The sequence below is a fragment of the Homo sapiens genome, chromosome X, assembly GCF_000001405.40.
Source record: "Homo sapiens chromosome X, GRCh38.p14 Primary Assembly".
NCBI classification, from domain to species: domain Eukaryota; kingdom Metazoa; phylum Chordata; class Mammalia; order Primates; family Hominidae; genus Homo; species Homo sapiens.
Window position 1 is genome coordinate 10,044,176 of NC_000023.11, and position 23,578 is coordinate 10,067,753.

General features: G+C 45.8%; 1 protein-coding gene across 1 annotated transcript in view, besides 3 other annotated features; it reads left to right on the forward strand.

Moving 5' to 3' along the window:
• WWC3 (WWC family member 3) overlaps positions 1–23,578 on the forward strand; it is a 129,221-nt gene that overhangs the window by 28,922 nt on the left and 76,721 nt on the right. The window contains 2 exon segments of the mRNA NM_015691.5: positions 19,270–19,379; positions 23,112–23,315. Coding sequence (NP_056506.3) covers positions 19,270–19,379; positions 23,112–23,315 — 314 coding nt within the window.
• Positions 2,682–3,315: an enhancer, noted in NCBI's record as "H3K27ac-H3K4me1 hESC enhancer chrX:10014897-10015530 (GRCh37/hg19 assembly coordinates)". NCBI's record gives its function as "activates a minimal SCP1, AML or CMV promoter by ChIP-STARR-seq in primed H9 embryonic stem cells {active_cell/tissue: H9 hESC(primed)}" and the evidence as "EXISTENCE:reporter gene assay evidence [ECO:0000049][PMID:30033119]".
• Positions 3,316–3,948: an enhancer, noted in NCBI's record as "H3K27ac-H3K4me1 hESC enhancer chrX:10015531-10016163 (GRCh37/hg19 assembly coordinates)". NCBI's record gives its function as "activates a minimal SCP1, AML or CMV promoter by ChIP-STARR-seq in naive H9 embryonic stem cells {active_cell/tissue: H9 hESC(naive)}" and the evidence as "EXISTENCE:reporter gene assay evidence [ECO:0000049][PMID:30033119]".
• Positions 5,904–6,527: an enhancer, noted in NCBI's record as "H3K27ac-H3K4me1 hESC enhancer chrX:10018119-10018742 (GRCh37/hg19 assembly coordinates)". NCBI's record gives its function as "activates a minimal SCP1, AML or CMV promoter by ChIP-STARR-seq in primed H9 embryonic stem cells {active_cell/tissue: H9 hESC(primed)}" and the evidence as "EXISTENCE:reporter gene assay evidence [ECO:0000049][PMID:30033119]".

Consider the following 23,578-nt stretch of genomic DNA (forward strand, 5'->3'; position numbering starts at 1 on the left):
AGGTATGGGTGAGACTTGAGGTATGATTCATCCTGGGGCAAAATTTCTTTCCAGCCATGAACCTGTAAAACCAGACGTGTGCTTCCAAAATACAATGGTGGGGCAGCTATAGGACAGACATTCCTGTTCCAAAGGGGAGAAGTAGGAAAGAAAGCAGGTCCCAAGCCAGTACAAAACCTAGCAAGACAAATTCCATGAGATCTTAAGGCTCCAGAATAATCCCCTGGCTAGATGCCCCGCTTTCCAGGCCCACTGGGGTGGCAGCATCACCCTCACAGCTCTGTTAGGTGCCCTTCTTTGACTGTGTGAGGCCCCCACCCTCTGAAACTGAGGACGAAACGGCCTTGTCCCCTAGCCCTGTGTGGGAGTGGCAGCCCGGATGGTCTTTGAATTGCCTTCAGGGTGATTCTTTGATTTTCTTGAAGAATAGTCTGTGTTCTCATCTGAATATATCTATGGTCGCATCCTATAGAATCCAAGAAATCCAACAGCCTTGTTTCATTCACTTCCAGTTTCTCTGTCCTTGTAGTTCAAACTGGCAGTGTCTCTGCTGGTGTAAGCCCATCTTTCTTCCTGGCTTCTGCTAAGATGGCTGATTAACATCACGGGTAACCTCTCTATGGAGTGACTGTCCAGCCACACCCTTGGCGTTTTCTCCAGAACAAGCTCCCTCATTTTTGCATCCATCTGCCCATCCCTCCCTCCCTCCGTCCCCCCATCCCTTTGTCCAGTCAGCCATCCCTGCCTCCATTCATCCCTGCTTCCATTCATCCTTTAGTCCATCCTTCCATCCCTCCCTCCATCCTTTCTCTCTCTATCCCCCCACTCATCTATTCATCTGAGCATAGCGCGCTCCAGGATCCCAGCTAGGTCCTGGGAGACAGGACCTCTATGATCCTTGACTTTGTGGTGTGCAGAGTCTGGTGGGGGCGTCTGGAGACACTTGCCCTTCAGTGAAAATTCAGAGCTAAGCAGCATCTTGGGATCAGGGTTGCCTGGGCTTGTGGTGAGGCTGCCTCTCCAGGGAAAGGGGACTGTGGATGCCTGGAGTGAGAAGACTGAGTTAAGGTCATTTCTGAGTGTAGAGCACTGGACTAGTTTTTGCAAGATGCAAAAACAAAGGGCCTTTGCCCTTGCAGCCTTGTTCTCTGAGATTGGGTTTCTAGACCATCATGTGTGAAAGCCAGGTGAGCATGGCCCTTTGGCCTCCCTTGGTTTCTGGACTTGGCAGTCACCCCTTCCTTCTGACATGCCCCCTCTGCCATCACAAAGCCGACCTCGGGCACGCGAAGTTTGCGTCAGCAAAAGGAACTCACTGTGGAGTCCTGATAAGCAATGTTCCAGCGATATGGGTGGCCAGGCAGTTCTGAACATAATTAAGCAGGCCTGATTTACCTGACAGTTCTCTTGGATGACAGTGCTGAACCCTCAGCTGCTGGCTCAGTTTTGGGGATGTGCATGGACAAGTTTGAGAGAGCAAATGTAGTTCAGAAAAATGGCAACTTACTTGTTCTCAGTGTTGCTTTCAGTCTTGGAGACATCTGGGTGTTGTGCTTTTGTTTTGACTGGCCAGCTGTCCTGCCCAGCCGAAGCTCAGCTCTGCCTAGCCAGGGCTCGAGGTGGGGCTTCTATTCCTGCCTCATGGTCACGTGCATCGGCTAAGAGAAGGAGCTCAGGGCACAGCCACAGGCCTCCGAGTTTGTGTGGCTGAAGGTTGGTTCTGCAGGCTTCCTAGTGGTGGTGTAAAGATTGGAGGAACCTTTGCAGACGGCCCAGTGTGTGTCCTCCGAGGGGCTCACTCTTGCCCAGCACACACAGTCAGCCTCAGGTGGACTTGGCCCAGCGTGTGTGAGCCAGGCCGAGAATGCACCGCTTCCCTGAGGCCGCAGGCACATTTCAGTGGTGGTACTGGAGAGGCTCAGTGTGGATGGTAATAGCCTTTCGGATGCTCAAGGATCCAGAAATTTCTGCCACAGTGGCAGGGGCATATGGTGACATACACTGGCTTGGTTCCATGTAGTATAGAGTTTGGAATAATTGTTTTTATGTGGAGTATTTCCTGTGCTCCTGCAGGTGAAGAACTTTACTTCTTTTCTCTTCTAAAGGAGAATTTGGGGCTCCCTACTAAGCTGCCTCAGGTGGTTGCTGATAGGTCTGGCCTCTGCGTGTTTTGGATCAAGTGTTGTTGCCCACAGTCCTGCTCTGAGGATTCTGTTGTTGTTGTTGTTAATGATTCTTGTGAGCCAATATTGAGCAAAATGACAGAGTCCTCCATCAGTGCCTGTTCTTTTATTTTATATTTATATATTTATTTGTTTTTTTGAGACGGAGTTTTGCTCTTGTCACCCAGGCTGCAGTGCAATGGTGCGATCTCGGCTCACTGCAACCTCTGCCTCGCAAGTTCAAGTGATCCTCCTGCGTCAGCCTCCTGAGTAGCTGGGATTACAGACACTCGACACCACACCCAGTTAATTTTTATATTTTTAGTAGAGACAGGGTTTCACCATGTTGGCCAGGCTGGTCTCGAACTCGTGACCTCAGGTGATCCACCTGCCTCAGCCTCCCAAAGTGCTGGGATTACAGGCGTGAGCCACTGTGCCTGGCCAGTGCCTGTTATTTTAGAGGGGGCTTCCTATATCCTCAGGACGTCTCGAGTCCAGCTCAGGAACACCTGGACTTCCCTACCTGTTCATTTGACATACCTGTGTGTCAGGCCCCTGCTAGGAGTCTGTGATAAAGGCGACAGGGACCCCAGTCCTGCCTTCTTGAAGGGGAGCCTAGCATGGTAGAAATCTTCACACTCATCATAAGTTACCACTTTAATGGGCATGCGTTAATGCAGAGACACTGCAGAAGACGTCACACTCCATGTTTTCCTGATGCCGCTTAACAGGGAAACCATCAAGGTCACGGAAACGGGCAGAAATGGTTACAAAGTGAGCTCTGGCATTGCCGTCCCTCTTGCGATGGTATGGAGCGGAGATGATGGCCAAGCTCCCAGTCAGTGGCCTCCTTGTGGAGTCAAGAAGGACTGTCCTGGCCCAGTGCTTGCTCAGGCCCCCTTGTTCCTGCCTTGCTCAGACAGCGGGCTCCCTTCTGCCCACACCTCAGCCTCCCTCCCCGCTGTTCCCTGCAGCCTCTTTCGACAAAGCAGATCTGCTGATGACAGGCCCTGCTTCACTTCCCAGTGGCGTCCTGCCATCTGCAGAACCCATCTCCTTATCAGGGTGGCCCAGGCTTTCTTCAGGAGGCTTCCTTTCACCACACCCACCCTCACCCAACCTAGGGCAGGTCCCAGTCCATCTGGGACTTGCCCATCATGGCTCCAGCGTCCCCCATTCCTCCCCTCCCCAGGCAGGTTAGAAGCGGCCTTGCTGCTCCTGTTGGGCCTTGAACCCAGTGCTTCTAAAACCCACCCATCCCCACGAGCTGCGCTTGTTTGCCTGGGTGGCTCTTCCCCTGTGCCTGGAGCTTTGGGAACAGGGTTCCTGAAACTGGAGTTCCCAGACTGGTAGCATTTTGTGTATCTTTGAGGCAGCATCTTGGGTGTACATGTAGACACATCTTTCCAGGCAGGACATCGATGGCTTGTCTCAGATTCCCAAAGAGATCCAAGACTTAAAAAGAACCACTGCCTGGGGCGGCTGCTCTCCTCTGCATCCTTTCCTGGCACACAATTAATATGCGCAGGCTGGATGACTGGAGGTCACAGATGCTTGGCATTTCCCCCCGTGCTTTTGTTCATGGATTCAGTTGGTGATATATGCAGCGATGCATCTATAAATAGTGGAATTCTCATGCCCCAAAGAAAACGAGTTAAGTGACTGCTGAAAGTTGTTGTTGTTGTTGTTGTTTTTTTCCTTCGGGGTGTGGGGTGTTAATTAATGCCAAAAAAGGCAGGTGATAAAATCCTTTTGTTCTTACTCTTAGAATCCTGGTGCAGGACTTTCTGCAGCTGGGCTCCAATACAAACCAGAGTGGGGAGGGGACTTGATCTTGGCAGTATTGGAAAAGCTTTAATTGATACTATAGAGCCCGAAGGACTGACATCTTTACCCCTGTGTGCCGCTTGTCGTCTGAACGGATGGCCGAGACGCATCCTGGGTCGCCTTCCCTGTGATGCCATTTCTAAAGAATGTTATTGTTCAGCCCCTTCGCTCTCCTTGGCCAGTGTAGTTTTCCTTGCCCAATTCGGTTGAATTTACTTCTTCCGTCCATTGTTACTATTTGTTTCTTTATTTCCCAAATCCTTCCTTAAAACTTCTCCTTTTTAATTTTAAAATATCTCTTCCTGTTGTATTCAGTAGTAAATTAAGGACCAAAATATTATAATACTGTATTTTATTTTGAAAGGACTGTGTTAAGACTCCCATCTAAAATTTTGGCAATATTAAAAGTAAAAGGCTGATCGTTTGCTTCTCTAACTATACTCTCACCAGAGTAATCATCGTTAGAAATTTGTCAAGAGGGTAAAGGAGATAAGAAAGTATTTAAAAGTGGAATACGGTTCACATTACACTTATTCCTATAAAGAGCTCTTGGAACCCTTGAAGTTTGCTTGGAATCGGTTCTCTGAGTTCCGTGTGGAAGTGCAGGGAGCTGGCTGCCTCTGGCGTGGCTTCCAAGTCCTTGACTGCCCTTGCCCACATCCTGGTCTCACCACTTCTCAGGTGTGTGTCCCTGAGCTCAGCTTCCTCCTAGGTAACATGGGATGGTGATAGTGGGCCCACCTCCTCACGCTATCGTGATGATTAAGTGTTTGGTTGAGCACAGTGCTGGGCTTTGCTGTGTGGCTGCAGTGTTAGTTTGCACACCTGGCACCGTCCCGTGCAGTGGCCCTGCACATTCAGTGCTCCAGTATTTACATGATGTATCTATGTATACATATGTCCTGCAGCTTTGCCTGTCCAAGTACTGTGGACGGTTACCAAAAATAAGGAGCCTATTTTAATTACATACACAACCAGAAGAAAAATTAATGACATGTACATACTGTACTGCCCCTAGGAAGTATGATGTGCTTTAATATTTTCTTTTTAAAATAAAATACTGCCAGGGACCTACTCACTCAATTTCACTGCTCACTGATAGGTTGTGACTATAGTGTGAGAGCCCTGATATAGAGAGTAATGGGATGAATGAACACAAAGGATTGGAAGTAATTAGTTTCGGGAATGTTTCAACATGTGTCCAGATGGAAGATATTCTGGAACATCCACCAGCCATGACTTGGAATTTACACATAAAAATCTCCAGATGCATCTAACAGCTTCAAGTGAGTGAGATGACAGCGAAGCTAGTGATAGCATCCAAGTCTTGTGTTTTTTTCTTCTCCCAAGTATTTCATGTGACTTGGAATCCTTAAATTCTTTTTTCCCCACTGTAAATGAAGTATTCAATAAGAACGTCAGTGTGTGTGTGTGTATTTTAAAAACAGCTTTAGTGAGGTGTAATTTCCATATCATAAAATGCACCCATTTTAGTACAGTCCTATGAATTTTAGTCAATTATACAGCTGTGTGACTGTCATCACAATTAGGTTGTAGAACACGCCCATTGTCCCCTGCTGTCCCCAGTCCCACTTGCCTGACTACCACTGCCTGGTTTCTCTTAGGGAAAGGCATGTTTCAGAAGTCAGACTCCTGGATGGTATCATTTCTCTGCCCTCCTTGACGAGGGAACTGCAGTGGCCTGGGGTTCTTCCTGGTTTCTGGGCCATCATGCCTGAAAGCCTGGTCTGGAGCCAGTGAGGAGGACCCATTTGGGTCCATGGGAGGGGGCTGGGTACTGAGGGCTGGTCTGTGCGTGCGTGGGGTGGGTCTAGGGATTTGTAAGCAGCTGTAGAATGAAGGCTCAGAGCTGACTTGGGAGTCCCCTAATGAGGTCCTCTAGCCTGCATTGGCTCCCCCTGTTAGTGCTTTGCAGCCATGATGCCATTCTTAATGCGACAAGCCCGAGTTTCCGATCACTCTGGTAAACAGCTCCCGAGCACCTGTTCTGCCCAGTCCCTGAAGAGGAAGCCATGCATCTGTCACACTGCAGCCCATTCTCCCTCTGATCCAGTCTCTCCAGCTTCCAATCTGCACACCTACTCATGAGCATTTCCTGTCCAGACCAGTACCATCTACAATCAGCTCTAGAGCTGCCACAGACAACCTGTTTTGGGTGGCAGACTCCATTCAGCATTGATCAAGTAATTCCGACTCATCCTGTATATGCAGTGGAGCACCTCCTGGGCAAGTCCTGGAGCCCTGTGGGGGTCAGGTCAGCATTGGAGGGGATGCCAGCCTTGCCCTGAAGGAACTAGTACTCGGGGAGATGCAATGTTTATTAATGACCGCATTCTACTTAGAGTTTTAAGAACTGCCACAGAAGAGATCAAGTGCTGAGGCTGGCCAAAGAAAGGCCAGCTTGCTTCTGGCTGGGCTGGGCTGGGCTGGGTCTGGACCTGAGGAATCTGGGCCACATCTTAGAAGAAGCATTAGCATTTGAACAGGAAAGGGGCGGGGTGAGGGGAAACTTGGCAAAGGGAAAGAACAATCCAGGTTTGGGGATAGCAGTTCCCATGGGTTACTGGGAATGCGGATGGATATGAGGGGGTTGGAGGGAAGCCAGGAGTTCCCTGTATGCGGTTTTGTGGTCTTAGAAGTGTGGTTCCTTCAAAATCCCCACTAGTGGCTTGTGGAGGATGGCAACTCAGGCCAGGTCTTTCTTAAGTGATGCACCTGTGCACCTGTGATCATTTGCAGACTCAAATTACTGTAGAATTTAGATGAGAGTGTGACGTTGTGATATCCAGTGCAGTAGCCACAGCCACACGCAAATGAGCACTTGAATCGGGTCAGTCCTAAAATGAAATGGGCTTAACCTGTAAAACACACCGGGTTTCAAAGACTCCATTGAAATAAAGAATGAAAAGCATTCCATTTGTAATTTTTGTAGTCATTACGTGTAAAAATGATAGTATTTGCAGTATAGTGGGTTAAATAAAACATGTTTTAAAATTCATTTCGCCTGTTTCTTTTTACTCGTTTAAGAAGTTTTGCATTAATATGTGGGCTCTCATTCTGATTCCATTGGACAGTGCTGCCCCAGAGAATTCTTTGTACCAGCTGGGCTAAAGTCTGTCTCTATTTTATTTACTGTAAATTGTATCCCTAGAACTTATATATGGAGGTGAACAAAGTGTTTTCACATCAGCTCAGGAGTGTGCTCTTGATAGGCTTGTTGAGAAATTCCTTTTCTCTGTTATTCTGTCTCAGAGGGACCCTTGCTGGGGGGCACTCAGATGATGGCTGCGGTTGGGCGCCCCTCTGGGTTTGGTTTCCTTTGGGTGGTAGACTCGAATTTTGGCCTCAGGTCAGCTTGCTTTTAGATTATGTTCCTTTCATACAGTATTATGCTGCTAAATCAAAATAATAGCGACATTCTTCCAGTCTTTAGAGGAAAAAAATAAAATGGAAGGAAAACAGGCATTACTGGAGAATGTAATACATTCCAGAAACCTTGATAATAGTCTCAGGCCTTCTGCCTCATCACCTTATAGTAAAACGGAGAAAATGGAGGCACAGTGAGACTGAGTCATTTGCCTATGCTCAACCTCTAGGAAGTACTTAAAGTATAGTTTCCTCAGTTTGAAGTTTTTCTCCCTTAAAGTTTTAAATAATTGTTCCCATCTATGTCTGTGATTCAATAAAATATGTACCGAGGGACCTTAGATGTATTCAGTCATTACTGGGTGGCATTTTTCAGGTGTTTGGACTTCCATTGCACCAATGCCTGAACATGCCTGAGAACCGGTAGGATCACTGGGGCTGCAGAGCCCCAGGGGTTTGCTGGTTTTCTTGAATACCTCCTGGACTGATTTTCCTAGAACAGTTTATTCTTTGCTGGAGGATAGAACATCTTGCTAAGATCTTGTCTCTTTATCTTCTCTGGACACTCCCTTTCTGGTGGGCAGACCCACATTCAGGAAACCAGATTGTAGATCAGAAGGTGGCATGGTCAGTGCAAACTCAGAACAAAAGACCTAGGGGAGGTACTCAGGGATGTTGCATCAAGCTCTGGTAGCTGATGAAAGTCACCTTCCTTCCAAGGATAGATCTGTCTAAAAAAAGAGCTGTCCGAGTGAGGAATGACCCTGTAGTGCTCTGGCCTCCCGAGTCCTGCATTTCTTATAATCTAGGCCTTGTGATCTCAGTCAAGTTAAAATGCCCTTCTGTCCCCTTCCAGTTCTTTCTTAAGTGTTAATTGGCTCCAAACTGGTTTTTCTATGGTATCAGTTCCTGAAATTGGCCGGATTAATTTATCATGCACTTTAATGAAGGACTCTTGTGTTTGAGGGCTCTGGCTTAGAAAGGTGAATCCTTTCTTCCAAGGAACTCACAGACTGTTAGGGGAGGTAGCCTGTCAAATGATGACTATGCTATAAAGCAAGAAGCACTGTCCGTAATGGAAATGTGGGCAGTGGTCTTTCTTACCCCTGCCCCGCAGGACTCCATAGTGGGGAAGGACAAACCAGTTCTCTCCAAAACATGTCTATACTTGGATAACTTTTTTGTGAATCACTAAAGATGCTCATGTCATCAAATGAGATGAAATATTCAGACTTTTCACAAATTCTGATTATTTCCTTCCTTTGTCCAGATCTCCAAGTGGGTTAGCCAGCTAACTATACTAACAGCTCCAAAGTCTTATTGCTTAGCAGAATAGAAGTTTCTCACTCATGTAAGTTTAGTATTGGTTGGGGCGTGGAGGGTGGACCCAGGCTGCTTCTGTGGTGTGGCTTGCCCATTTTTTGAGGCTTTGCTGTCCTCCAGTGGGTTCTTTGCTTTGGGCCCACAGGCAAGGGAAGAGAGAAGGCATGGGGAATCCTGCCAGAAGCTTCTGGGACAAGCCTTGGAAGGGGTGTACATTGCTTCTGCCCACATTCCATTGTCTAGAGCCCAGTCACATGGTGCCACCCAGCTGCAAGGGAGAGAGACTGTGAAGTGTGATCTCTCTGTGGGCCCAAGAGGAAGAGGAAGCAGGGGTTTGGTGGATATGTAGCACTGTTGCTGCTCCATTGCTTTGGGTAACAAATACCGACTCATAGGAGGCAGCCTTTAAGTATTGGCTTCACTGATGGGGTAGTACCGTTTCATTGTGACAATTAAAAGATGCATCTGGCATATTTCTCACTGGGGTTTTATGACCTGAGTGATATCCCTGCTGGGATATCAGTAACACTGACCTTCAAACTCAGGCGAGTTGGCTGTGAACAGGCTCCCCCAGCTCTCTCAGGCTGGCTGGCCCATTGCTTCACTGTGAAAAGCTATGCCCTGGAGAACATGCTGGAACCTGGCTTTTCAGGTGGACGTTCAGGAAGGTGTAGGTGCCAATGAGGGGAATTGTGTCCTGGGAGGCTCATGGCAAGGTAGAAAAGTCTCAGTGAGATGGACATGGTTGAGGGCTAGAGGACAGTGCTACACCTTGTCACCACTGAAGCAGTGAGACAGATCTTGGTGGTGTGCTCTTCGTGTTTCAGATTGAAGACTCTGAGGCTGGCGGTCTTCTGTCAATGCAGCTTTGCACTCCTCAGGCACAGGGGTTTACCTGCATCTGATTCTCTGTGGTCATTCCCCACCTCCCCCGCAAAAAAACACCTACAGGCATCCATGGTCAAGTGTCTTACGGATTTACTGCCATTCATAAAGCCTCTAAACATCCCTTTTTTCCTTGAAATACATTTGAGGAGCTGTTTGCTTTTTATATTAGTCTGGGAATTTGTCCATTAATTATGATAGTTTTGTGTTAGAGACAATAAAAAGACTGACAATGTATAATTTTTTTTTTTTTGATTCTTAAGAGGACTTCACATTTCCACAAGGAAATTACAAATGTTATTTAAGAATGATTAGTTCCGAGGCTCTATCACTAACAGTCGGGACACTCACACTATATTAATACATGGTTGCAACGTTTAGATTGAGTTCTAGGTGTAATTACTCATTGCCCTACATTCTAGACTTATAGAATTGGACTTGAAGACAAGAGCCAGTTCAATTCCTATGCATATTCTAAATAAATACCTTGGGCAAAAACACAGATTTTAAATGATTATTCCAAATGGCTTTTCAGGATTAGTGTGACAGGTTTGTGGCACATTCACTACTATTTTAAACTTTGACAGAGGAACGAGGAGTCTCTCTAAAAGAACTTCTGAGCTTCGTTTTTTTGGGGTGATCAACATCCCTGGGAATCTGATGAATGCCATGTACTGTGCTTATCAATTTTTCTTTCTAATTTCAGGGAGCTCAGGGACCCGTTCTCTGCTACGGGAGAGCCGTGGCTCTGAGTGTAAATGCTTGCCACCAAAAGCTTGGAGAAGCAACTAGCACAGCAAACAGGGTCAAATTCACCACCTAAGTAACCACAAGCGGGCTGGTGTCCAAGTTCCGGCGGGCTTTGAAACTCACTGTGAGCCAGGTAGCTTAGAAAAGGTGGAGGAAGTCATTAGGATTTCCTGAGGATTGGGTTGGAACTGAAGCCGAGATTAATAGTGTCCTCTCTGAAGAGCATTTTAACAAACGTGAATTGGAAATATAAAGATCTTCTTGTTCCCTGAGACTGGAAGGTGTAGCACAAGTGCCAGAGCATTGCCCTGGCCTCCTTTTGATGGAGAGAATGTGTGAGGGATCAGCAGCGCTCATCCCTTCTCACTGTTCCACCTTCTGCTACCCACCTGTAGTTTCCTACAGTTTGGTCCAGGGAAGGTGTGGGCTTCGGGGCATGGGTCTGCCACCGACTGCCTTGCTCGCTCTCTCTGGCCCTGCAGTCTCCCCAGCTGCTGTCTTGTGGTCAGCAGAACAATGGCTTCCAAGATGTGCATGTCGCTAAGCCCTGGAACCTGTGAATATGTTGACATGCGTGGCAAAAGGGACTTTGTAGCTGTGATGACTTTAAGGATCCTGCCCAGGGAAGATGGTCCCGGATGATCTGGGCAGGCCCAGTGTCATCACAAGGGTCCTTATGAGTGGAAGAAGGAGACAGAATAGAGAGAACCAGAAAGATGGCATCCTGAGAAAGACTCATCTGGCCATGCTGCCTTTGAGAATGGAGGAAGGAAGGGGCTACTAGCCAAGGACTACAGGAGGCCTGTAGGAGGTGGAAAGGGTACAGGAACAGATTCTCCCCAGAACCTCCAGAAGGAATGCAGGCCCCTGGACCCATTTTAGACTTCTAATGTTGAGAACTGTAAGGGAATCCATTTGTGTTGTTTAAAGCTACATGGCCCAGGTGCCATCTCTCAAGGGACCCAGCAGGATACAGTAGGCGAAAAGGGAACAAAAGCTGGGCCGTGCCTTCTTTCTTCTCTCCCCTCTCTGGCCCTGGAATGACCAGCAGTGTGTATTCGTGTGCTCTGCTGAACCAAGAAATGTGGTTTGTGAAGGGCACGATCTGCATCTGGCAGCTCTCTGGGTGGTGGCTGAGGGCAGAGAAAGTGAGTGACTCTGGGGTTGATGCTGTTGCGGGGGTGGGATGAAGAGACAGTGGCAGCTGGCCCAGGAAGTCCCCCACCTTCCAAAAGCGCTGTCAAACCTCCGCTGTCTCCCTACCAGCTTGTTCCCTGAAGGTCAGCCCGCTTAGGCCATGTGGATTCATCTGGAGCCTGGGGCTGAATGCATTAAACTTATCCCCAGAAGGTGGTGAAAAAGACCACTTCTTTCTTTGCAGGTGAGCATGTGAGGCGATGGGAGAGCGCTTTGGCAACATCTCTCAAATATTTACTGTCAGCTCCTCTCTCTTACTTACAGTAAAGAGCAGAAAGCTGGGACGTACCTAAGTGGATGACCCAGGGTGCCTGGTAAATAAGTGACGCCGACAGAGCTAAAAGACGTGAGGCAATACCCAACTGAAATGCAATAAGTTTATGACATTATATCTAGTATGATATGAGCTATGGAAAAAATGTAGGACAAAGAAGAGAGAAAAAGAAGCTAAAATGTGAATCCAAGGCTTCTGGATCTTGAGTGGTTATATTCCATGTAGACATTATGATCTGAATTTTTGCATCAAATTTAAGATATAGGGGTAAAACTTCATATCCTTTGACCTTGAAATTTAATTCTGAGAATTTTTTCAAAGAATAATTATAAGTACGGCTTATGAGCTTTATAGACACAGATATTCCTTCTATCATTAATATAAAATTGAGATATATTTCACATGTGCCATAATAGTCACCATTTCAAAGTGTACAGCAGTGGTTTTTAGTATATTCCCAAGGTTGTACAGCCATCACCCTATCTAATTCCAGAACATTTTCTTCCCACTAAAAGGAAACCCTGTGCTCGTTAACAGTCACTCCCATTCCCTCTTTCCCCCAGCCCCTGGTCACCACTGATCCACTTTCTGTCTCTCTGGGTTTGCCTATTCTGGATATTTCCTTTAGATGGAACCTCACAATGTGTGGCCTCTGTGTCCGGCCTCTTTCACCCAGCACATTGACTTCAGGGTTCATCTGTGTTGTAGCATGTATCAATACAGTTGACCCTTAAACAACATGGGTTTGAACTGCATGGGTCCACTTATTCTCCTGCCTCTGTCACCCCCGAATCGGCAAGACCAACCATTCCACGTCCATGCCGGCCTACTCAGTATGAAGACTAAGATGAAGACCTTTATGATGATCTACTTCCACTTAATGAATAGTAAATATATTTTCTCTTCCTTGTGATTTTCTTAATAAATTTTCTTTATCTTATTTTATTGTAAGAATATGGTGTATAATGTCAAAATATGTGTTAATCAACTGTTTATGTAATCAGTAAGATTTCTGGTCAGTAGTAGGCTGTTAGTAATTAAGTTTTTGGAGAGTGAAAAGTTATACATGGATTTTGAAAGTTCGTGGGGGTCAGTGCCCCAACAATTGCGTCTATTCCTGCATTCCTTTTTATGTCTGAATACTATTCCATCGTATGGCTAGACCATGTTTTATTTATCCATTCAGCAGTTGATGGCTGTTAGCTGTTTCCACCTTTTGGCTATTATGAATAGTGCTGCTATGAACATTCATGTGCAAGTTTTTGTGTGAACGTATGTTTTCATTTATCTTGTGTATATACTTAGAAGTAGAATTGCCGCATCATATGGTTATAACTCTATGTTTAAGTGTTTGGGAAATTGCTGAACTATTTCCCAAGCATGAGTGGCTCTCATGCATATTTATATTAGTGAAAATTTGGAAATAATGTAGATGTCAATAGTAGGAGAGTGCTTAGGTAAATTCCATTAATCCCTTTAGTGAAGGATTTGTACAAATGCAAGTTATTTATTCAGCAGGAATTATTGAACACCAGCTTCATGCCCTGTCTTGGACCAAATCAAAGGTGATTGAGATGGGGTAATTGTTCTCAAGGAGCTTGAGCTATTCAGCTATTCCATGTGATGTTTACAAATAATTTATGACAAGGGGGACAGAATTCTTACGCTATAGGGGTAGGCTAGCTCAAGTAAGTTTTGGAGAGCCTCAAGGTACGAATTAAGTAAACATGTTACAAAGTTAAGTGGAAAAGGTAGGATAGATAATTGCACATACTGTGTGATCATGAGTACGTCAGAAAATACCAGATAAAAACAACTCATCAAAAAAAGGTGGAGAAAAACATACTAATATAGGAATAGTGGTTGCCTTTGTGTGGTGGTGTCAATGGACATTTCTCTCCCATTTAAGTGTCTCCTAAATTTTTTGTGATGGAAACAAAAATTCCCCCAGTCTGTCTGTGGAGACTGGGAAGGATTGGGTGGGGGAGAATCTAGCATCAAGTTTTTGGGGAGATGAGAACTCCAGAACCTGAGATGGCATCCCTGTGGGTGAAGACAGAACCTCAGAGGAAATACTAGTGTGTGCGCGCTGCTATCCTGCACCCCATCTTCCTCTCTTTCTCAGCCACCTCTCTCCTTTTGATATCCCCTGCCCATCTGTGGCCCTACTTGGACACCAGTAATACCCCACTGGGTAGTTAATAAGGACGCTTTTTACGATTCTCAGAAAAAAAAATTGGTCTTTAAAGTTATTAAAAGGCTTAGTGATGTTTTTAAGAAGACACAATTGAATTGCTAATCTATTTGCTCAAATTCTATTATCTAATATTATTTCCATGTATTAAAAAGGATTCTAAGGTCAGAAATGAGAAGCTGCCCTAGCCAGCTGATCTACTGGCCCTGACTATTTCAGAATACTCTACTTTGGGACTGCTGTCAATGTTGGGAACCCCATCACAGTTGAAACTGACTAGAACTGGGGATGGGGGAGTACCATACTCAGAGAAACAGGGATCTTAGAACAAAGTGCTTTTTCTTTTTAGCTCTACCTTTATTTTCAATTGTCTTCTCAGCATTTTAACTAGTAAAATCAAATATGATGAAAATCAGTTGGGGCGTGGTGGCTCATGCCTGTAATCCCAGCAGTTTGGGAGGTCAAGGTGGGAGGATCACTTGAGCCCAGGAGTGTGAGACTAGCCTGAGCAGCATAGTGAGACTCTGTCTCTACCAAAAAAAAAAAAAAAAAAAAAAAAAAAAAAAAAAAAAAAAGAAAGAAAAATAGCTGGGTGTGGTGGCACTTGCTTGTGGTCCCAGCTACTCAGGAGGCTGAGGTGGGAGGATCACTTGAGCCTGGGAGGTTGAGGCTGCAGTGATCTGTGATTGTGCCACTGCACTCCAGCCTGGGCGACAGAGTGAGACCCTGTCTCTGGGGAAAACAAAATGACATTTACAAAAATAGAAAATATTCCCCCTGGTGACACTTTAACCACAAGATTAGAAGCCCTACATCTTTGGTAGGTGTGAAAATAGCTTGGAGAATTAAAATTAGGCATAAATAAATTCCTGATGTCTTTGAGAGTTTAAGTCATTGGATGATGCTGTAATAGAGGAGAATCTGGGAGATGTTGAGGCGTCAGGTTCTTTTTCATTTGAAGCTAAATGGCCTCAGTTGGGTGGTTTGAGCTCTCCTGTTTTGTTTGTAGATTTCCTGTCTCCTTCCACTTGGTAATAGACCACTGATTTCTCTATGCTCCTCCTTGTGATAGTGTGCCGCTTTCCACTTTTAATTTTTCTCTTCTGTTTTATTGTGAGGGGAGTAAACTGCGGTATTGCCATTCCCCTGCTTTCGCATACATGTGAATGAGCATGGGAAAGCTGAAAGACTTTAGTGCATTTGGGGAAGGGGATAGCCCAGGGCTCCTTTCCTGAAGAACCGAAAATATTTGAACATCTCCAATTCTGCTTTATATTTTACACATAGTCCTTGACATATTTCTGACTCTTTTTCGCCTGCATTAAATTTCTTTTTGGATTCAACTTAGTCCTGTGGCTAAGGGTTTAGCCTTTCCACATACCCAGCAATTTCTACTTTCCTCTTAACTGTATACAGTTCATACAGCGCCTATGCCAGCACTAGCATTTTCATTTTTTCTATCCTTTTATTTTGATGAAATAGTACAAACAAAATGCATTAAACCAGATGTAAGCCTGGCTGCTTTGAGGCCCACAAAGCTGGTTCCTCCGTCTCTGGCCCACCTTGGCTCTACCGTGAGATAATTCTGTGTCTCTATCAATGACTGTAAACCGTGCAATAAAATGTAAAAATTGCCCATGTGATGTGGACAGACGTGAAGATGCTCTGCGAACTGAACTTTTTCCCATGCGAAGGTCTGGATTCTGGATTCCTTGGGAAATACTGAGAAGTGTGAATCTGGCATTGAGGGTCAGTTTAAGGGTGTGTTGGAAATTGCAGGTACGGATATGTGGAGTCACCATGGCCTTGGCTTCTGAGAGAGGACATGAAGGACTCTCTTAGGAGTAAAGCCGATGTGCTTTAGGATCATTCTCAGCTTCAAAAGCTTCTTTTCCCTCCAAGATCCCTGCTGGAGTGTGGTTGAGTGAGGAGACTAAACAGCTAACCTTCATTTATGTGGAGGATGTGTACAAATGTCAGAAACATGACGAGCGGTGTTTTGTGTCCAGTGACTGAGAATGGATGTGGCTCCCAGGCAGTGGAGACCGTGGGTGTTTGGCGGTGATGATTTGTATAGGGTCAAGCTGGCCTTTGCAGGGCTGATGGGATTGGGGTACGAGAGGGGAAGAGGAAGCCTCTCCACAGGTCCAGGAAAGACCGAGAACAGATTGCTTAGACTGGAATGAGTGTGATGTTTTGGAAGGCGGGTAAACAAACTCATTTGCCTGGACAAGAGATTGTGTGTGTGTTGGGGAGGGGGTGGGGGGTGCAGAGGGGCGGTGGTAGGGAGTTGAAGCAGAAAGAGCCAGAAGCTTTGTATGGGCTTGGCTTGGGGAGGACTTTTCACACCAGCCCAGGAGGTTTGCTCTGGCAAACTCAGTGCTGTGAATTTCTTCTTTTTTTCTTTTTTTGAGGATGGAGTCTTGCTCTGTCACCCAGGCTGGAGTGCAGTGGCACAACCTCTCCTCACTGCAACCTTTGCCTCCCGGGTTCAAGCGATTCTTATGTCTCAGCCTCTCGAGTAGCTGGGACTGCAGGTGCACGCCACCACACCCAGCTAATTTTTGTATTTTTAGTAGAGACTGGGTTTTGCCATGTTGGCCAGGCTGGTCTTCAACTCCTGACCTCAGGTGATCTGCCCGCCTTGGCCTCCCGAAGTGCTGGGTTTACAGGTGTGAGCCACCACGCCCAGCTCAATGCTGTGCATTTCTGCATGGAGAGCCACTGTGCTTGGGGAAGACTCTTTGGACATCAGTGTCTCCACCCAAGTGGGAGGATGATCATTGGCAGGATGAGGGATCATGGGATTGTCCAGGATGAAGCCGACCACCTGGCTGAGGGTGCTGATTGTCCCCAGATGAGGCTGAGATCGCTCCTGGGTGGCCTCGGCCTCATCCTGACATGCAGGAACCATGCTTTTTAGCCAGCAAGAGCCAGAAAACACTCCTTGCTGAAAAGTTACCACCAAAAAACGCCAGTTTTCCACACCTCCAGATACTTCCCCTCTGACGATGAAAGAGGAGCCAAGATTTATTCGTCTCTCCTTTGGCTGATCTAAGTGCAGTGGTGTTTACAACTAATTGATCACAACCAATTACAGATTTCTTTGTTTCTTCTCCTCTCCCACTGCTTCACTTGACCAGCCTTTTTTAAAAAAGATGTGATCAAATAGATTCTGGAACTGAATAACTCCTCTGAAGTGATTTATTTATGACTGAAGTAATGTTACTCACCAATAACTTTCTTGGGAGAAAAGCATCATTTGATATTGGTAAAGTTTAGAGTATTCATGATAGATAGGATATGCTATACAAGAGAAAACTATGAAATCCCTGGCCCATAAATATTTTGGAATGATAATTAGGAAAATACATCTAGACATTCTCAATGCTGTTATTGAAAATCGTGCCAGAATTTGGCTCTGCAGTGCTATAAGGATGGGTTTCTCAACTATATTTGTTTACTTTGTCTATTTTTGGAAATAGGATCTTGTCTTGTCACCTAGGCTAGAGTGCAAGTGGTGCAGTCATGGCTCGCTGCAGCCTCGAACTTCTGGGCTCAAGCAATCCTCCCACCTCAGCCTCCCGAGTATCTGGGACTAAGGCATGGGCCTAGCTAATTTTTTTTTATTTTTGGTAGAGATGGAGTCTCACTGTGTTACTCAGGCTGGTCTTGAACTCCTGGGCTCAAGCAGTCCTCCCACCTTGGCCTCCCAAGTGCTGGGATTACAGGTGTGAGCCACTGCACCTGGCCAGTATTTGTTGATTAAATGAGATCGTGTATGTAAATGTGCTTAGAATGTACCTGTGCATGGGCATTTTTCTCTAGAGGCTTATTTGTGAATATCATTACGTTAGACTAGCAGCAATTTGCTCAGAACTCAGTTTGTGTTAAAGTAGGATTTTCTTTTTTGCTGTGGTTGGGTCCCATTCAGGATGCAAATCATGCACAACAGTCTGCTGTTACCTGCTTGACTGGGACCCTCGATACGGCATTACGTTCCTGACTGGTAAAGGCATTGTGCTGCAGACATCAGTTCCAGGATGGGACAAACTACATACAGTAGGCTCATCTTGTGATGTGATTTTTTGAGTGAGTCGTGTTTGGGAGGATATATATGGCATATTTCACCTTCTGTATATTTCTGTTTTTATATTGTTTCTAACTTCTTAAAACCATGTGTTTAGAATGAAGATTAAAACTAGTGTTGTTCTGATGGTGTTTATCAATTTCTGAATGCCCCTGGGGAGAGACAGCCTTGTTGTCAAACCAGTTTGGGGAAATTACGTGTTCAAAATTCATACTGGTCTCATGGGGCTTGGCTGTGGTTGTGTCACTTTCTCAGGTCTAGGGACAGAAGAAGTGGGAGGATTGACTTAGTGAAATGTAGGTGATCGGATTCCCATGCATAGCAGTCAGTGTGCATTTATAGAGACAGCCCAAGAGATAGCTGCCCAGACTCAGACAATTATAGGTGTGTCTCGTTTTATATGACAGCTGCAGTCCTAACACTGTCTTGTCAATCAATGTGATCATGGGGGATCGGGGAGGGGGGAGGTCTACTTTTAAAAATCCATCTGAAAATTCTTTACTTTATCTCTCTTGTCAAGCCCAAATTTCCTCAATCAGATTTTCTTCAGGGAGAGATGCCTGTAGACAAAGTGCTTTTATTGTTTTTCTCCAGAAAAATAAAAAAGGACTCTGAAATTTCTGATTCCTACTGTATAAGAAATACAGGAAGCATTTAGTAGGGGGGAGGGCGTGGGTATCATTGTATTGTTACCTTGCTTGGCTCTTTGCATTTGGCCAATGGTTGATGTTTATTAAACTCATGACCAGTGGTAGATGAAAATATTGCAAATGCATTTTATATAGATTTAAGCCAATGTTCATGTGTAATGTATGGAAACTGAAAGTTGTGAGGGGAACATTTCTCAGGGAATGAGAACAGAGCATAGGTGCTCTCTGATTTTTCTGGAAGAGCTACATTCCATTGTCGTCACCTCATTAAACATACTGCTTGGAAGAAGATGCTTGCTTTACCTGTTTTGTTAGTAACCGAATATCTCTTTTTGCTCACATTTAAAGTTGCACTTTGAGATAGTAATGCTTCTGATTGCAAGTGTACTAATGCAGTTATTTAGGCAAAGCTGGTGAATTAATTTTCCAACCAAATATTTGGAGCAAAAGCAGTCAATTAGATAAGATAAAGCAAACTTATACAAAACTGACCTGACTTTCAAATTTGTTTTCATAATTTTATTTTGCAGGATAACAAAGCCATTGACCTTTGCCGATTGTGTTGGGGACGAACTTCCTTTAGGATGGGAAACCGTATATGATAAACAAATTGGAGTTTATTACATGGACCACATAAATAGTAAGTAGTGTGCAAAATCTGTGGCATTATATCAAAGATGCCAAAAACTTTTTGTAGAGTTTAACAATCGTTACCTTCCAATGCAGCATTAAATTGGGTTTTATAAATGTAATGCGAAGTTTCCATTAGCTCAGTTCTTCACAAAGTGAAGCAGTTCTGTAGCTGTACCTTGCTTGTGTCTTGCTAGGGACTGCATATAATATGTTTAATGGAGGGTTTTAATAACTATTACAAGGAATAAATTTCCCAGGCAGTCTGGAAATAGAGATACCTCTCATAATGAAAAAATTATTTGTTGCAGAGTGGAACTGACAAGTTATTGGAATAAGTGCCCAAGTGATTATGTTCACTTCATTTCGTCTTATACATTTAACTTTAGCTTTCATACACCAAACCTTTTCGGGGGGTGTGTGTGTGTGTGTGTGTGTGTGTGTGTAATGGTATAGAGACCATAGCAAAAACAATGGGTCTTTGACCATGCCAGCCTCCTTTGTAGAACTGTCTAGAGCAGTGCTTCTCATCCTGGGTGATTTTATCCCTCAGGGACACTTGGCATTGTCTGGAAGCATTTTCAGTGGCTGTGCCTGGGAGAGGTGCTGCTGGCATTCAGTGGGTGTAGACCAGGGATGCTGCTTAACACCCTACAATGCACAGGACAGCCCCCCCTCACCAGATAATGAGGCGATCCCAAATGTCAATGGTGCCAGGATATAGGAACCCTGTTCTAGATCTGTTCTTTGCCCCTTAATCTTGGCTGTCTCTTCGTCAGCTTTCTTCGATGGGGTCCCAGCTGGGAATCCATTTTTCACTCTCTCTCATTTTCATTCTGGCTTCCCTCAGTGGCTCTGTCATTGTCATTTCACTACCAGGATATGAAGCATGGCTTCCCCTTGGCTTACTTTCTGTCCTTTGGTTGGTGAAGTGCGGGGCGGCTGCAGGGTCTGAAGGTGCATGGTGCCCCCCACCTGAGTGATTTTGAGGCACTTTTCTAGTCCAGTGCCATGACTCCTCATGTCCCCACTGTGCAGTCAACTCAGATTGGTGTCTTCAGGGCTGATTCCTACATTGTCAGTTGCTGGCACCCAAGATCTGAGTCCCCCATCTCAGATCTCGGGGCAGTGGGGTTTTTGGTGCCTGGCACTCGTCCTTGGGCACGATTGCAGCTCTTATCCAGAGATTGAGCAGTGGTGATTGGAGACAGGGGATACCTACCGTTATGGCCCTGCTGCCCTCCCAGGCAGGTCCGGGTGGCAGGAGGACTTCTAGGTGGACCCACTGCTTTTTGGACAGGGAAAGTACCTGGCAGAAGAGAAGCTGAGAGGCCCCAGTGGCTCTCTGCCAGCCTGGCACTTCACGGCTGTGTGTGTTTGGGTAAATGTGGCCTTTTGAGCTAGGCTTCCCAGCTGATAGTCTAAGCGGCAGCTGGTAACACGTAAGAGCTGCTCACTTCACAGGGCCACCATGCTGTGGACCTGGGCACATGCCCGTGGCTTCGTTAACACGCTTCGTCCTTCCCAGGGCTTGGTGGTACGGATGCCCCACGCCCACTGAATCTCATCTCTGAGACAAGAGCAGGACTCTGATTTTGCATTTGTTTTGGTTTGTAAATCTCCTCCTGTGAGCTTTTATGGCTTGGAGAGGCTTTCTAGGAGGGGCTTTCTAGGATGGTGTGAAAAGGGGTGAGCAAAGGATATTGACAGGAGAGCAGACAGGGAAGGCATTTCCAAGGAGAACTTACCTGGAAACATTCTAGCAAGCACACCGTGTGTGTGTGTGTGTGTGTGTGTGTGTGTGTGTGTGTCAAAACAGACATAATGTAAAATTTACCATTTTAACCATTTTGAGGTGTACTTCACGGAACGTAAAACGAACCATTTTTAAAGTGAATAGTTTGGTAGCATTTGGTGCATTTGCAGTCTTGCACAGCCATCACCTCTATCTTGTTCCAGAACATTTTCCTCACCCCAAAGGGAAATCTCATCTCCATTAAGCAGTCATTCCCCATTCCCCTTCCCCTATGTCCCGGTGACCCCTAGTCTGCTTTCGGTCTCTGTGGAGTCTCCTGTTCTGGGTATTTCATAGACATGGAATCAGATGCTATGTGGCCTTTTGTGCCCGGCATCTTTCACTTAGCTGTTTTTTGAGTTTCTTCCATGTCATAGCGAGCATCAGAACTTTATTCCTTTTTATGGAATTTTATTCCTTTGTATATGGTTTATACAAACCACTCTGTTGTATGCACTAAGTGAAAGGTCCTGAGAGTATAAAGGTGACTGAGGCTGTGCCCCTGCCATCTAGAGGCCATAGTTTAGATGGGAAACAGAAAAGATATAAAAACACTCATGTGCTCAGTGTTAAGGGGGAAGAAGGGCAGCCCGCGTAAGCAGGGGAGAGACGCATGTGCCTAGAGGATCAGAGAAGGCTTCAGAAGAAAAGGTGCCTTTGCAGCGTGCCTGGGAAGACGGCAGGCCTTCCTGTGACAGAAGAGGTCTGAGTCAGCATGGCAAAGGCACCGGGGGGCCAGCCAAGCATATTTGGGGACTTCGCAGAAGTTCAGTCTGTGTAGACAATGTTTTTGGGGAAAAAGACGGAAAATAGAGATGAGGCTGATAAGTGAGTTTTGGGACTCCTGTATCAGGCTAAGGAGATTGGACTTTGTGCTTTCAAAGAGGTTTCTGTGTGAAAGCATTGCATCCCAGTTAGGAAGGTCACTTTGGAGAGTGCCCTGAGGATGGGTTTTGGTGGGATGAGACCAGAAGGCCCAGAGAGTCTGACTGAAGTAAGGAGAGACAGAGACAAGGGCGTGTCGCCAGTGATGATCATATCCAGGGGCAGGAACCTCCAGTTCTTCATAACCCACCGAATGTTTCGGGAGGAAGAGGAGTGGGATTCTTTGAGGATGAGTCCCAGGTTGCACTCCCAGGCTGGCTCCGCAGTTAGATCCAGATGATGCGGCTCCCCACAAGGGGAAGACAGGAGATTGCGGAAGACAGGAGAAGCAGGCGTGTGCTGTGTGATGTTTCGTTTGGTTTTGCTCTTGGTGGTGAAAGGTGGTGTGGAGAATGAGGGCTGCTTTGGATGAATGGCTGGGAATGACTTTGGGTCCATCCATGTGGAGGTGCATCCAGGAGGCAGGGGGGAATGAAAGTTTGGAGCCGGGGAGAGAGGCTGGAGCTGGAGTTAGGCACAGGCCCTTGGAGAGCTGGACGGGGAGGAAGCAGGAGTGCACATGAGGGAAGCTATGGTGGGAGGAGACAAGGAAGTCGGTGAGGAATGGGAAAAGACTACACAGTCTAGTCTGGAAAATGAAAGGAGAAGGGGGCTAGCCAGGCCAGGGGCACAGAAGAGTTTCCATCATCTCACACAGAAGGAGTCAATGAGGAGAAGGTCATAAATAGCAATTAGTGTCACAGTTCTGAGCTCTTGTGGGTTCATCTCCTCCCATGCTTATTTAGAGTGTGGTCTTTGTTGGTAAAAACATTGTCTTGTATTGTCTTCCCTCCTCCAATGGACTGTTTCATATCTGTAGAGTTTCCTTCTCATCTGCACTGTGGATATAAAAATGGAAACTGTTCCACATTTTGGAAAGGTTTGTGATATAAAATCTTCCATAATATGCATCCTGGTAACTAATTAATTTTCACATTGATGAGTGACATCACTGCATGACTCTTGGTCAACCTAAGGATTTTACTTTTAAGTCACTTATGTTTTTACCTTTTTAAATTTCAGAACTTACCCAGATTGAGGATCCAAGAGAACAGTGGAGGCGAGAGCAAGAGCGCATGTTGAAGGAATATTTAATTGTAGCTCAGGAGGCTCTCAATGCCAAGAAAGAAATCTACCAGATTAAGCAGCAGCGGTTCGAGCTGGCCCAGGAGGAATACCAGCAGCTGCACAAAATGTGTGAGGATGACAGCCGCTCGTACGCCAGCTGTGAGTTGACTTATCTCCTGTTAAAAGCCATTGTGACTTTAAAAGCCATCTCTCTGCTAGGTTACCTGCAAACACTGAACCTTCCCTGGGCAAGATAGCTTCATAAAGGTTCTAATCGCATACTGTTAGGTCATCAGTATTTGGCACTGAAATCAGGTGGGCACCTGGCAGCCACTCCTGTAGCAAGGATTTATCAAATGCTTACTTTGTGCCCAGACACTGGGTTATGGTTGGTGGTGACTAAGAAAGGAAAGGTCTCTGCC